The 15,962-nt window shown below is 34.4% G+C and overlaps 1 protein-coding gene across 20 annotated transcripts in view; it reads right to left on the bottom strand.

Moving 5' to 3' along the window:
- TANC2 (tetratricopeptide repeat, ankyrin repeat and coiled-coil containing 2) overlaps positions 1-15,962 on the bottom strand; it is a 461,469-nt gene that overhangs the window by 410,129 nt on the left and 35,378 nt on the right. For 16 of the 20 annotated variants that reach the window (XM_011524597.3, NM_001394998.1, XM_006721810.4 and 13 more), the window contains exon 2: positions 7,949-8,038. In XM_011524597.3, coding sequence (XP_011522899.1) covers positions 7,949-8,015 — 67 coding nt within the window. In that variant the 5' untranslated portion in view covers positions 8,016-8,038. Of the gene's footprint in view, positions 1-7,948; positions 8,039-15,962 lie in introns of those variants that run through there. The other 4 variants (XM_011524599.2, XM_017024429.2, XM_047435735.1 and 1 more) reach the window with 1 other exon arrangement.

Raw genomic sequence — 15,962 nt, 5'->3', positions numbered from 1 at the left:
GGCTTAAGGGGAACCATTTCGAATAGAAGACACTCAGGACACGACCCTGTATTCCATGTGCATCAATTTAAAGCTGATTAATAAAACACTGTATAAAAACTAAAATCCTATACAACAGAACAGTGAACAAAAACTTAAAAATGAAACTAAAGAAATAGTTCTTTAAAAAAATCAGTTAACTGTAAATTTATAGCAGCCCATACATTTGTATCATTTTAGTAAAAAATAAAAAATTTAATTTAGAAAATATCTACTATCTTCATCATTTATCTTTATCATTTACTGATAAGGGATTAGTCATCCTTTCTGTTATGAACCAGGAACATGAATGAAATCTAAAAATCTATAAGTAACGCAAGGGTGTCAAGTCCATTCAGTAGAGAAAGAATAGTCTCTTCAAAAAACAGTGCTAGGGAAATTAGATTTCCACATGCAAAAGAATGAATTTGGACCCTTCCTTCATACCACATGCAAATACTTACTCCAAATGGATCAACAACCTAAATGTAAGAGTTAAAACCATAACTCTTAGAAGAAAACATAGGAGTAAATCCTCATGACCATGGAGTGAAAAGACAACCCCTATTATGGGAGAAAACATTTGCAAATCACATATCTGATAAGAGATTAATATCCAGAACATATAAATAACTCCTCCAAGTGAATGACAAAAACACAAGCAATCCAATTCAAAAATAGGTAAGGGACTAGAACAGGCATTTCTCCAAAGACATAAAACGATCATTAATGAAAAGATCCTCAATATCACTAATCATTAGGGAAAAGTCAAGTCAAAACCACAATGAGATACCACTTCACACCTACTATAATTTTAAAAAAAGGAAGAAAATCACAACTGTTGGCAAGGATGTGGAGAAATTGGAACCCTTATGCCATGACAGAAAGAATATTAAGTGTGCAGCCACTGTGGAAAACAGTTAATTCATCAAAAAGTTAAACATAAAATTACCATATGACCCAGAAATCCCACTCCTATATACCCAAAAGAAATGAAAAAACTCAAAGAAACTCATATTCCAATGTTCACTACAGCATTATTCACAGATTAAAAATGCAAACAACCCAAATGCCCATCAAAGGAAGAACAGACCAACAAAATGTGGCACAACAGAATATTATTCAGCCATAAAAAAATTTTTTTTGTAGAGACAGGGTTTCACCATATTGGCCAGGCTGGTCTCGAAGTGCTGATCTCATGATCCTCCTACCTTGGCCTCCCAAAATGCCGGGATTACAGGCATGAGCCACCACACCCAGCCTTAATGATGTTTTTAATTGCTATACCATTTTATAAAATACTTTTTCAACATATAATAATGTGGTTTAAAATTTTTTTCTAATTGGAAAAGTTCTGTTAATTTTCTGATGTACAAAAATCTTTGTATTCTTGGAATAAATTCTACTTCTTGTAGTACATTACAGCAATTATCTGTGTTTAAGTTTTACGTACTTTGCTCACTTTTGTTTCTCTATCTCCTGCCTTCCACACATTCTCCAAAGGCTATGTTATGCTTATGATACTAATCTTTCTGAATTCCCGAATATCTGAAATTGCCAGTATCTCCCCACCCCCACCAGCATACTTGAATAATGATTTACCAAAACAATGACACAATGATATCAAACAACGGCATTACTTGACTCAAAGAAGCGTATTTGAAGTTTTTTAATTAAATAATTTAAGGTGATAAAGTTAGGAAAAATAAGAAAATATATATAAACATTTAATATATATGAACTTTTAGAAAATATAAACATATTTTCTTTATAGCTCATTTAATTTAAAAGAACCACACAGCGGTTTTTTTTTAAGAAAATTTCACAGTACTTGCTACAAGCATCAGAAAAAAATAATTTTCACATCATAAATCTTAATTAACTGTTATAAAATTCAAAGCTAATATTCTCATGTCGTTAGGGGGAAAACTCTGCCAGATAAAATTTATCTTATTTCAAGCAAACTATCGCAAGGACAAAAAAACCAAACACCACATGTTCTCACTCATAGGTGGGAATTGAACAATGAGAACACATGGACACAGGAAGGGGAACATCACACACTGGGGCCTGTCATGGGGTGGGAAGCGGGGGGAGGGATAGCATTAGGAGATATACCTAATGTAAATGACGAGTTAATAGGTGCAGCACAGCAACATGGCGCGTGCATACATATGTAACAAACCTGCACGTTGTGCACATGTACCCTAGAACTTAAAGAATAAAAAATAAATAAATAAATATCTTATTTTAATAAATTTGATATAAAAACTATTTCTGTGAAATATTTATCTAGTGGCCCACAGAAAAATTCAGATCAGCTATTTAAAAGACAAATTAAGACAGATAATTCCCTTCATTACAAATGCTTTTTAAACTAAAGACTACGTTGATTTAAAAGAAAACCCTAAAATTATATACCTATGAGAAAACTTCCCTTATTAACCCCAAAAATAAGCCATGAGCCATCAATTAATATAAAGAATAAAGTATCTACCCAATTATTCATTAAGGGTTAAGGAAAAAAACTGTAATAATAAAAACACTAATGATATCTTTCCATAAATACATTTTCTCTTAATATAACATTTATTGTTGCCTCGGAATAATCTCTTAGTATGAAAAAAATTCTGATTCTCTACAAATAGAATTCTCTGCATACACAATACAAAGCACTATTTTTATAATAATTCTAAATTGTAAACAATTTGTGTGAAAAACCAGGGAATAAATATTAGAATCAGACTCCTAAAAATCATTACTGATATAACTAAATACCCAGAAAATCAAAGGAATTAGCTATAATACTACAGTAGAACCTTAACATGTATGGATTTAATAATATAATTTCTACTAACACAGTAGTTATTCAAAAGTCTAGTATGTAATAATTTGTGCTTTTGCTAAAACGTCTGTCTAGTATGAATTGACCACTAAACAAACCAAGCAAAGACATTAGTGGCCATGCACAATAACACAGACTCGGAAAAATTAGTTCAGAGAAGTGACTAAACAAATAATCAAAACAACATCAATAAATCCCTGGCGAGGAGAAGAATCTGATTTCCAGAGATAACACATTATATAATCTAAAATGTCCAGGCTTCAACAAAAAATTACAAGACATACAAAGATACAAGAAAGTATGACCTATATACAAGGGGCAAAATGCAAACAGTGGACATTGTCTCTGAGGGAAGCCCTGATGTTGGAGATACTAAGCAACTTTAAATTGCCTATTTTAAATATGTTCAAAAAACTAAAGGATACTATGTCAGTAGAACTTAATGTAAATATGAGAACAATGTCTCACCAAATAAAGAATACCAATAAAGATTTAAAATTTTTAACGAATCAAATAGAAATTTTGGAATTGAAAAATTCAATAATTGAAAAAAAATTCAGTAGACATGATAGCAGATTTGAGCAGACAAAAGAAAAAAATCAGTGAATTTAAAGATAGGTCAATTGAGATTACACAATCTGAGGAACAGAAAGAAAAGTATGAAAAGTATGTAAGGTAAGTCAAAAGAAAATATCCAGCATAAAGCATATAGAGACAAAAGGATTAAGAGAAAATGTTAAGAGTCAGAGATGATATGCGTATGGTCTATCAATTGTATAACTGGAGTTCCAGAAAAAAAAATGAGAGAAAAATTAAAATCTGAAGACATAATGGGTAATAGTTTTCCAAAACTGACAAAAGACATCATGCCGCAGAGTCAAGAAATCCTACAAAATGAATAAAAGCATGAATAGATGATAAAGATTTTTTTTTTTTTTTTTTTTTTTTTAAAGACAGGGTCTCACTCTGTCGCCCAGGCTAGAGTGCAGTGGTGTAATCTTGGCTTATTGCAACCTCCGCCTCCCAGGCTCAAGCGATTCTCCTGCCTTGGCTTCCCAAGTAGCTGAGATTACAGGCATGTGCCAACACGTCTGGCTAATTTATGCATTTTTAATAGAGACTGGATTTCGCCATGTTGGCCAGGCTGGTCTTGAACTTCTGGCCTCAAGTGATCCGCCTGCCTCGGCCTCCCAAAGTGCTAGGATTATCAGGCGTGCACTGCCACACTTGGCCAGAATATAAAGATTTTTTTCAATGATAAAGATTAAAAAAATACTCTTAGGCATACCAGTACAAATCTAGAAACCTTAAAAGAGAAAAGTGGCAGGTTGCCTTTAAAGGAGTAGCAATTAGACTAACAGCTGATCACCAGAAAAAAACGGAAGAAGCCAGAAGACAATAAATAACGTTGTAAAATACTGAAAGAAAATAACTGCACCCTAGAATTATACTCGCATAAAAGTATCCTAGAAGTAACCAGGAAGAGTAGCATCCACTTGTAGGCCCAGCTCCTCGGGTGGCTAAGGCAGGAGGATCACCTGAGTCCGGGAGTCTAAAGGCTGCAGTGCATTAGGACTACACCTATAAATAACTACCGCACTTCAACCCGGAAAACAAAGAGAGACCCCATCTCTTAAAAAAAAAAAAAGAAAAAAATCTACAAAAATGAAGGCAAAATAAAGACATTTTCAGATAAACAAAAGTAAAGTTTGTCATAGATGACTCCTCACTAAAGTAAATTCTAAAAGAGTCTTCTTGGCCAGGTATGGTGGCTCACACCTGAAATCCCAATGCTTTGGGTGGTCAAGGCAGGAAGATCACTTGAGGCTAGGAGTTCAAGACCAGCCTTGGGAAACATAACGAGATCTCATCTCTACAAAAACATTTTTTTAATTAGCCAGGTGCGGTGGTATGCACCTGTAGTCCTAGCTACTCCAGAATCTGAGGTGGAAGGGAAGTTTGGGCCTAGAAGTTTGAGGTTATAGTGAGCTATTATAGTGCCACTGCATTGTAGCCTGGGTGACAGAGCAAAACCCTGTCTCTAAAAATAAAATAAAACAAAACAAAGGGTGTTATTCAGATAAAGTTACTTCTATCTAGAAAGTGAGGGGTGCAGGAAGGAATGAAAATCAATGAAAAGGTCAAATATATGGGCATATCTAAGTAACAGTGACTACATAGAACAGTAATGTCTTGTGGAGGTTAAAGATAGGTGAAGAGAATCTAAAGCTCTTGCATTGTCCAAGAAGAGGGTAAACATATCAATTAAATATCAAACTTCAATAAACTAAGTATTGTTTTAATCTTTAGGTAACCACAGAAAAAATTTCAAAAGGGTATGTAATTTCAAAATTAATAGAGGAAAATATGGAATCATAAAAAATGTTTTGAGTCCAGGCATGGTGGCTCACACCTGTAATCCCAATACTTTGGAAGGCCAAGGCATGAGGATCATTTGACCCCAGGAGTTCAAGAACAGCCTGGGCAAAGTACTGAGATCTCATCTCTACAAAAAATTTAAAAAAAAATTAGCTAGGTGTGGTGGTGTACACCTGTAGTCCCAGCTACTCAGGAGGCTGAGGTGGGAGTATTGCTTGAGCAAAGGAAGTTGAGGCTGCAGTGAGCTGTGTTTGTGCCCCTAGACTCCAGACTGGGCAACAGAGTGAGATCCTGTCTCAAAAAAAAAAAAAAAAAGTTTTGATCAACACAAAAGAAAGGAAGAGAGGAAAAAGAAAGATAGGAGAGAAAGAAGCATAGAATGGATAGGCCAAGTAGACAGCACACAGATACCCAAATATATGACTGACCAAATTCATGCAGACCAAAGACTTTCTTAAGAGAAAAAAAAATGTCTGAATAAAAGAAAAGAAAACTCAACTATATGCTATTAACAGCATAAGCACACAGAAATGTTGAAAGCAAAAGTATGAAAGAAGTCATATTTTGCAAATACTAATTAAAAAAAACCTGGAGTCCTTATATTAATATGAGAAAAAAATGAACTTTTAAACAAAAGACATTATTAGAAATAAAGAGAGGCATTTCATAGTGGTTTTAAAAAGGTCAATTCACCAGGAACATGTAACAATCCTAAACTCGAATGTTCCTAATAAGACAGCTTCCAAACATACAAAGCAAAAATCCTCAGGAACTAGCAGGAGAAATAAAAAAAATTCACAATCATAATGTGGTATTTTATCACACTTTTCTCAGTAAATAATTTTTTAAGTAAGGATATGAAATGTTTGAGTGCCATCATTAACAAAACTGATCCACACTGAATCCAGTAACTGTGACATTCACATTATTTTCAGGTACATTCAGAACATTCACCAAAACTGACCATATGATTAACTGTAAAGCAAATCTCAATAAATATCAAAAGAATAAAATAATACAGAATAGATTTTCTGATAATAGTATAATTAAGCTAGAATTCAATAAGAAGAAGCATGACGTAGTAAAAAAAACACACACACACACACAAAACAACAAAAAAAAACATATTTGTCTCTGCTCATTTCCTGGCACACAGCTCTAAAACTTCTGAGTCTTCAGAGTGATAAAAGTGGTTTTCTATATGCTAACGAGACGAATGATAGGTACCTGGGGGCTCCTGAATAGCCTCAGGACAGGGGCTGGCTGCCAGGGAGGCCTACCATGAGAGTCAGCCTTACCGTCTGATTTCTAGAGAGGAGAGATGGGCTGAAGGTTGAGTTCATCACCAATGACCAATGAATTAATCATATGTGCATAATGGAGCCTCCATAAAAACCCAAAAGGATGGGGTTCGATGGGATTCTGGGTTGATGAGCACATGGAAGATGTTGAGAAGGCGGCATACCCAAAAAGGGCATGGAAGCCCAGGGCCCTTTCCCCTATACCTTGCCCTACCCACATCTTCCATCTCACTGTTCCTGAACTGTATTCTTTAATAGGCCAATAATCTTGTAAAGAAACTGTTTTCATGAGTTGTGTGCACCATTCTAACAAATGATAGAACCTGAGAAAGGGGTCATGGGAACCTCCGATTTGTAGCCAAGTCGGACAGAGGTTGTGGGTAACCTGGGGATCCACCACACGCAATTGGTGTCTGAAGTGGAAAGCAGTCTTGTAGGACTGAGACCATAACCCATAGGGTCTGTGCTAACTCAGGGTAGACAGCGTCAGAATTGAATTGAATTGTAGGACATACAGTTGGTGTCTACCAGAGAACTGAATTGAATCACTGTAGGAAAAAAAAAAAAAACCCACATATTTGGTGGCCAGAAATGTTGGTGTGAGCAGTGGAGGAAAAAACAGTTTTCCTTTTGTTAATGTAGGGGAGTTTGTTCTTACAATAAGATAAACAAAAAATCAGCAACAGTTTGGAAACTGGTAAATACACTTCCAAATACTTATGGGTCAAGAAGAAATCACAATTGGAATTACAGAAACATTTTGAAATCAATGACAATAAATACAGTACCAATATAAATTTATAAACTGCAGAAAAATAAGTTGAGAAGATTACGAAGAATACAAAAGTCTACCACTCATTAATAAAAAACAAACATTCTAATACATTTCTTTTCAATATTTTTTACCAAGGAAGTATATATAGTTTTACCTCAAAAGCCTAAGACTTAACCCCTTGTTCTAAAAAAGAAAACCCATAAACTTTATTTTAATGGCTATAAAAAATTCAACTTATATTTCACTTTCTGTATAAATCTTTGAGGACAGTTATTTTTATAATTTCCTTCCCCAAAGAGTGCCTAGGATTGCAATAATTTCATTTGTTAATTCAAAAACATAAACTTAGGTCTAGAAGGTTTTTAATAAGCAAATGCACAGAAACATTACTCTCTAATATATTAGAAATAAATATTTTTCTTCACAAGGTTTTCCTTTCTTTCGACTATTCCTGATACGCATTCAAGTGTTCCTACCTCTTAATAAAGCGTATGAAAGCCCAAAGAAATGTAAACTTTCTTTTAAGTTCTAAGTTAAGCATTAATAAAGTGTTACAGCATTAATTCAGGACCCTAAAAGAACTTGTATTTGTAAAATATCACGCACAATAAATGTAGCATAGTCACTTACCACTTGACCTGTTTTTACGACTTGATTTCCCACCAGTAAGCAGCATCTTGAGACTATTCCGAAACATGGTTATACTCTTCTACTGCAAAACTGTAAAAGAAAATATAGGAAAATGTGTTTAAGAAAACTTTATTTTCATAGCATAAGAGGGTGACTATAGTCAATAACTATACATGTTTTAATAACTTAAAGGGTACAACTGGACTGTTTGCCACTCAATAAATAAATGATTGAGAGGACAGGTACCCCATTCTTCATAATGTGCTTATTTAACATTGCATGCCTGTATCAAAACATCTCATGTACCCCATAAATATATACACCTACTATGTACCCACAAAAAGTAAAAACAAATAAAAATTTAAAAAGAAAAAAGAAAACTTGTCTATTCAAAATACTAAGAATTTAAAATTAATTATAAAGAATTAACTATGTTTACCCCCATAAATATATACAACTATTATTTACCCATAATTAAAAATGAAAATTAAAAAGTAATAAAAGTGCTAAACCAGAAAAAGATAATTAACTATGTTTAAATATATAGTACAAAACTGTAACTATATGATAAAAAAGACTATTAAACATTTAAATAATTCCTTAAAAGAATACAATACTTTTGACCACCCTAAGAAATAAAGGTAGATATCACTGAGGATGCAGAGCAATAGAAAACATAATTAGGTAGCTATAAATACTGTCTACCTTTCACTTGACTCTCCATTCTTGGACAATTTTCCTACCTGACGCACAAACACACACCGCCCCCCCACCCCCCACCACCACACACACATTCTAGAAACTTACAGCACCTACAGAATTTCCACTGGTCAAGCCAGAATTCCATCTCACAAGACTACAGCTATGCATGAATCCGTGCTTATTCCATGTCCCACTCCTACCAAAGGAAAACTCTCTGACTGCTTTGGATTACATCCTCTCTCACCTTCTCAAGAATTTTATTTTAAAAAATCATCTTCCTTTTCTCTCAAACAGCTTTAATTCTTTTTCTCTCTCCTGAATCATTCCAATCATAACATGAACATATTTTAGTCTATCTTGTTCAAAAAGAAAGTCCCACTCTTTACTCCACCACAATTCAATGACTGCTCTTATATCCTCACTCTTCTCAACAGCAAAATTTCCCAAAAGTGTTGTAAGTACTTGGTGTGTCCAGCAGATTAAATAGAGCAAACATGAAGTGGGACACAGGTCAACAGAAAATATCCAAACCAAAGCATAGAGAGATAAAGACAAAAAATTATAGAAAAGAGTACTAGATGCATATGGAACCACTGAAAAGTTCTAACATATGTATAACTGAAATTTCATAAGAGCGTGAAAATTGGGAAGAAGCAATATATGAAGTGTGAGCAACCAAGAATTGTCTAACATTAATTAAAGACATGAAGCCATATCTGAAAGAAGCTTGTCAAACTCAAGCAGAATAACCACAAAGAAAAACACTGAGCAAATCATAGCCAAACTGCTAAAAACTAAAGACAATCTTTTAAACAGCCAGACCCCCAAAAAACACATTTAAAGTAGCAAGAATCAACAGACTGAAAGATACTTTCAACAGTAATGATGAATAGCAAAAAATAATGACTTAAAAATTCTGAAAAAAAAAAAAAAAAACTGGCGCCAATCAAGCAATTTACTCTCAGTTTAAAAATATCTTTGCAAAATGAAAATCAAAAGAAAAAACAAATAATTTATTACTAAAAGGGAGTTCTTCCACCAGAAGGAAAATGATACTAGAAAAAAGCATATACATGCAAAAAGGAAGAGCCATAGGAAGGGTAAATATGTTCTTAAGTATTAATAAATGACTATAAAAATAACAATGATAGGCTGTTCTTTAAAATATATAGATTTAAAATGCATGACAACAATAAAAAAGGAAGGAGTAGGGTAATGGAATTGAAGTTTCTAAGATATCTGTATTACCCAAGAAGAGAAGTAATAATTCATGTTAGACTTCAATAACTCAAAAACTCATGTAGTAATCTCTAGGATATTCATTAAAAGCAAACTGAGGAGATAAAAAGAATAAGTAAAAACATTTGACTAAACCAAAGAAAGTAAGACATAAGAGAAAAAGCAGCATAGATCTGTGGATAAATGTAAGACAAATAGTAAGGTTTATAATTTAAACTCAAATTATATCCATTACTATGTTCAACACTCTAGTAGAAGACTATAAACATAGATGAACTGAATGCAAAATGACAGGAAAAGATATACCATTCAAACACCAACAAAAAGAAAGGTGGCATCACTATGCCAATATCAGGCAAAGTAGACTTAAGGCAATATGCATTACTAAAGAAAGGCATTTCTTAATAATTAAAAAGTCCTATCAACAAGAAGATAGCATAACTCTTTTGTCTATATTGAGACAGGGTCTCATGTTGTCACCCAGGCTGGAGAACAGTGGTGTGATTATAGCTCACTGCAACCTCAAATTCCTGGGCTCAAGTGATCCTCCCACCCCAGCCACCCAAGTAGCTAGAACTACAGGTGTGAGCTCCCACACACCACTAATTTTTCTCATTTTTTTTTTAAAGATGGGGTCTTACTATGTTTCCCAGGCCAGTCTCCAACTCCTGGGCTCAAGCAATCCTCCCACCTCGGCCTCCCAAAGTGCTGAGAATACAGGCGTGAGCCATCTCATCTAGCCAAGATATCATAATTCTAAATCAATGGACCCAATAAGAAAGCCTGAAAACATTTAAAACAAAAAGTATACAAAACTAAAAGGTGACAGACAAATCCACAGTTACATGGGAGACCAACACACCTTTGTCAATAGCTACAAGATCAAGTAGATTTAAAAAAAAAACTATGATATGTTTGAACTACACAATTAAATAACTAGACTTGAATATATATAAGCAAATTTCTCTTCCAAATAAAAACAAACTATAACACAAAACACATACCAAAATGGACCATATGTTAGGCCATAAAGTATCAGTAAATTTTGAAATCTTTCAGAGTATATTCCCTAACCACAAAGCAATTAAGCTAGAAGTAAATATTTTTTTAATCTAGAAAATCTCCTGTTGCTTAAAAATTAAGTGATATACTTCTAAATACCCATAAGTTGAACAAAGTAAATAAATCACAACAGGTATTTTTAAATATTTGTAATGAATGATAATAAAAATGACTTATGGGAACTCATAGGATAAAACTAAAGCAATGATTTTAAAGGAATTTACACCTTAAATGTATGTATTAGAAGTAAAGGATGAAAATCAGTATCTAAGCTTCTATTTCAAAAATTTCAAAAGCAAGCAGCAAATAAAAACTCAAAGAAAGTAGAAGGAAGGAAAAGAGTAAAAAGAAAAAAATGAATGAAATAGAAAACAAATGCAAAACAGATAAAATCAGCAAAGCCACATATCAGATTTATGAAAAGTATTAAATCTGCTAAACCAAGGCTGATTGAGGAAAGAAAAAAGAAATCACCAATATCAGAAATGAAATAGAGGACATCATTTCAGATCCTTAATTTAAAAAATAAGATATTGTGAACAACTTTATACCAAATTTAACATTTAATATAAAATGTATAAATTCTTTGAAAAATATAACTTGTCAAAATTAACAAAATGTTGAGCAAAAAATATAAAATAGCCCTATCTCTATTAAAGAAATTGATCAAAACTCTTCACACACACACACACACACACACACACACACACACACACACACACACACAAACTATACAGCCAGGTGGTTTCACTAGTGAATTCTATCAAACTTTTAAGGCACAAATAACACCAATTTTATAAAAATTATTTAAGAAAATAAAAGAAAAAGGAAATACTTCCCCACACATTTTATAAGTATTGCATGATATTAATCCCAAAACCTTACAGATATTATAAGAAAAGAGAAGTGCAGACCAACATACCTCATGAACATAGACACAGAAATATCCTTAACAAAAGACACTGAAAACTCTACAATGTTGCTTAACAGTAACAAAAAAAAACCATTAAAGACAACCTAAGTAAGTGGAGATAAGCCATGTTCATGGATTGAAAAGTTGAATACTTACTGTTAAAATGTCACTTCTCTCCAAATTGTTCTAAAGAGATAACAGTCTCAAATTCCAGCAGGCTTTTTTTTTTGTTATTTTTTAGAAATTGCAAAGCTGATTCTAAAGCACACATGATAATGCAAGGAAATGAAAACACCAAAGCAATGTTGAAAACCAACAAAAAGGCTTGGGCATTTATACCACCTGAATTCAAAATTTACTCTACAGCTCTTTCTTGTTGATGAGAATATGGTATCAACAGAAGTACTAACAAGTAGATCAACAGAATAGAACAGACAGTCCAGAAAAAGACCTACACTACATGGCCATTTGTTTCTGACCAAGTCATTAATAGGTAAAAGGAAAGTCTTTTCAACAAATCGTGGTGAAACAAAGAGATAATGCATTTTTTAAAAAAAATGACCTATATATCATGCTATTAAAATTAATTCAAAATAAACATCACATAAAAGCTAAAATTATAAAGATTTTTTTTAAAAAAATTCAGAGCAGTGTGAAGAAGAAGGCAACAACAACCTCCAGATCAACCAAAGCCCGTGAGTCACTGCATCCCTGTGATCAGTGCCCACATCCCACCACTGATGCCACCATGCCCACGAGAAGGATTGAAGGGGATAGATACTAAACGAGATAAAGCCAATGTGAAGGATAAACCACAGAGAAAATCCACAAGGTTGTCTGCTAAACCTGCTCCTCTAAAACCAGGGCCAAAGCCAAAAAAGGCCCTTGGTAAAGAAAGGAAAGAAGGTACCCAAAGCGGGTAAGGGGAATAACCCTGCAGAAAATGGAAATGCCAAAACAGAGCAGGCACTGAAAGCTGAAGCTGCCGGAGATACCAAGTGAAGTGTGTGCATTTTTGACAACTGTGGACCTCTGGTGACTGTACGGTTTGAAATACTATTTTTTATCAAGTTTTATATAAATGCAGAATTTTGTTTTCCTTTTTTTTTTTTTTTTTTAAAGCTATGCTGTTAGCACACAGAACACTTCATTGTTGCTTTTTGGGGAAGAGGCATATATCACTACTAGAATGTATCCAAAGCTGGATTGATGTAAGGAAAACACCTTTTCCCTTCTAGTTTTAAGAAACTTCCTCTTGGCTCCCAGGAAGAAGGATTTCCTGACTTTGACACACATAGCCACCTTGGCACAAATGCCACGTGGTATGAAAAAACAAATTCATTCTTACGTCCTCTTCTCCCTTTCCACCTTCAGCACAGACTTAACTCCTTAGGCCCAAACACCTGTTGGGACCTGAGCCCCAGTAATTGGTTACCAGTGTGTCAGGCAATCTGAACCTTCCAGTGATGCCACTGAGATGGCGCCCCTCAAAAGAGCAGCAGTTGAGGATCTTCAGATAAATTTTGCCATTTTCATTTCGCTACCTGAAAGTCAGGGCTGGCTCATGAAAAGTTGTTAAACAACAGCTAAATGTGAAATGTCAACCCTCCCTCTAAACTTTCCCTGTTCTGAGCATCAAATGAAGACTTCATGGGTTTTATAGTGGCTTTCTGATTTTTGGTGGTCCATCAAAGAAGGAGTCTGAAAGTTGTTGTACACTGTTAATGATTGTCTGCCCATGTCCTGCCTGAAATACCATGACTGTTTCTGGGAAGTATCTTCAAGAAAGCAGAGTACAGTTTGAAAAAAAACAAACAAATTAAAAAACAGACTGTCTCACTATTTACAGGTAGACAAAGGATTCTTAGGAACATAGAAAGCAACAGCCACTTAAAAAAACATATATTTGGAGGTTATTAAAAATTTAAAAACATCTGCTAAGATAACATTAAAGAAAACAGGCAAGCCACAAACTGGGAAAAATTATTCACAAAACATATATAACACAGGACTTACATCCAAGATACAGTAGTCCCCCTTTATCTGCAGTTTTGCTTTCCATGGTTTCGGTTACCTGCAGTCTAAAAATATTACATGGAAAACTGCAGAAATAATTCATGTTTTAAATTACACACCATTCTAAGTAGCCTGATGAAATCTCACACCATCCTGCTCCATCCTGCCTGGGAGGTAAAACATCCCTTTGTCTAGTTTATCCAAGCTGTATATGCCACCTGACCACTGGTCAATTAGCAGCCACCCTGGTTATCAGATCAGTTACTGCATATAGCGTGTACAGGATTTGGTACTGTCATTTCAGGCATCCACTGTGGGGTGTGTCTTGGAATGTGGATACGGAGGGACTACTGTATATAAAGAACACCTACAACTCAGTAATAAAGAGACAATCGATTTTCAAATGGGTAAAAGATTTGAACAGGTAGTTTCAAAAAGTAGATATATAAATGACCCACACCCAAATTATAAGGGCTCAACATTATATGTCATTGCAGAAATACAAATTATAATTAGCTATCCACTATACTCCCACCAGAAGAGCTAACTTTAAAAAGTTTGACAATATCAAATATTGATCACAATGAAGAGTAATTTAAATTCCAACACACTATTTTAGGAGTATAAAATGGTACAATGGCTTTGGAGAAAAATATAGCTGTTTATTATGAAACTTACTGTACACCTAATGCATGACTCCACCTCTACTATTTACCCAAGAGAAATTAAAACATATATGCATAATGAAAAGACTAGTACAACAATTTTCATAACAGATTTATAATACCCTATACCTAGACTAGGTGTCCATCAACAGACGAATAAACTATGGGATATTCACAAAGAGGAATATTACTCAGCAAGAAAAAGGAATGAACTACTCATACAGTCAACACAGATAAATCACAACATATAATATGCCAAGTGAAAGAACCTTTACATAGAAGCATATGCATTGCATTATTACATTTATACCAACTTCAAGAATAATCTATGCCAAAAAAATCAGAATAATGGTTGTCTCTTGGGGGTAGATATGGGGATCAACTTAGAAATGGCACGAGGAACCTTTCTAGGATGATGGTAATATTCTATATGTTTTGAAGATGATTACTTTTTTCAAATGAAAAATGTAAACAAATGCTAAAATCCACTTAATGATATTCATGCTTAAATAGGAGAAAGCATATAGATGTCTGCAGATTATTACTTTGAAATGCATCAAAAAATAAGGTGGATTGATGGACTGATGGAGGCATAGAGAGGCAGATATGTGATGAATTATAACAAAATAAAATGTTAACAGTAAACTGTAAGTAGTGGATATACATGCGATAACTAAAACTATTTAAAATGTAAATAACTGAGCTGTTAATGGCTTGGAGATGCTCCCCCACTTCTCCAGAGAACTGCCTTTGGCTAACTGGCACCATCTTGCCCAGAAAGCTTCATGCCTTACTACTTCTACCCTAGAGAGGTTCTCAGTCAATGACTAATTATTAATCATTGAGATACAAAAGACCAGCTTCCTTAATTCCAGGGGAGGGCAACTCTGTGGTATGATTTATGCTCCAAAACCGTCACCCATAACTTCTTATGTGTTCTTCCCCAAATACTTACCTCCAAAAGACATCTTATATACCTGATTGTCTTATCAGTTTCCCTACTAGAATATAAGCTCCAGGAGGGAAGAGAAGATGCCTGTTTAATTCATTGCTACAGCCCTGTAAATGGAAAATAATACTTGATACACAGGAAGTGCTAAATATTTGCTGAATTTATCAATTACATATTTTTGTTTGTATACCATTGTCCATATCAAATCCCTTATAAAGAAATCTGGTCTTGACCAGGCGCAGTGGCTTATACCTGTAATCTCAACACTTTGGGAGGTAGAGGCGGGCAGATCACTTGAGGTCAGCAGTTCAAGACCAGCCTGGCCAATGTGGTGAAACCCTGTCTCTACTAAAAAATACAAAAAAGTTAGCCGGGCATGCTGGCATGCACCTGTAGTCCCAGCTACTTGGGAGTCTGAAGCAGGAGAATCGCTTGAACCCGGATGGCAAAGGGTGCAGCGAGCTG

Source organism: Homo sapiens, chromosome 17 (genome assembly GCF_000001405.40).
Source record: "Homo sapiens chromosome 17, GRCh38.p14 Primary Assembly".
NCBI lineage: Eukaryota > Metazoa > Chordata > Mammalia > Primates > Hominidae > Homo > Homo sapiens.
This window is presented reverse-complemented; position numbering and strand designations above follow the sequence as displayed.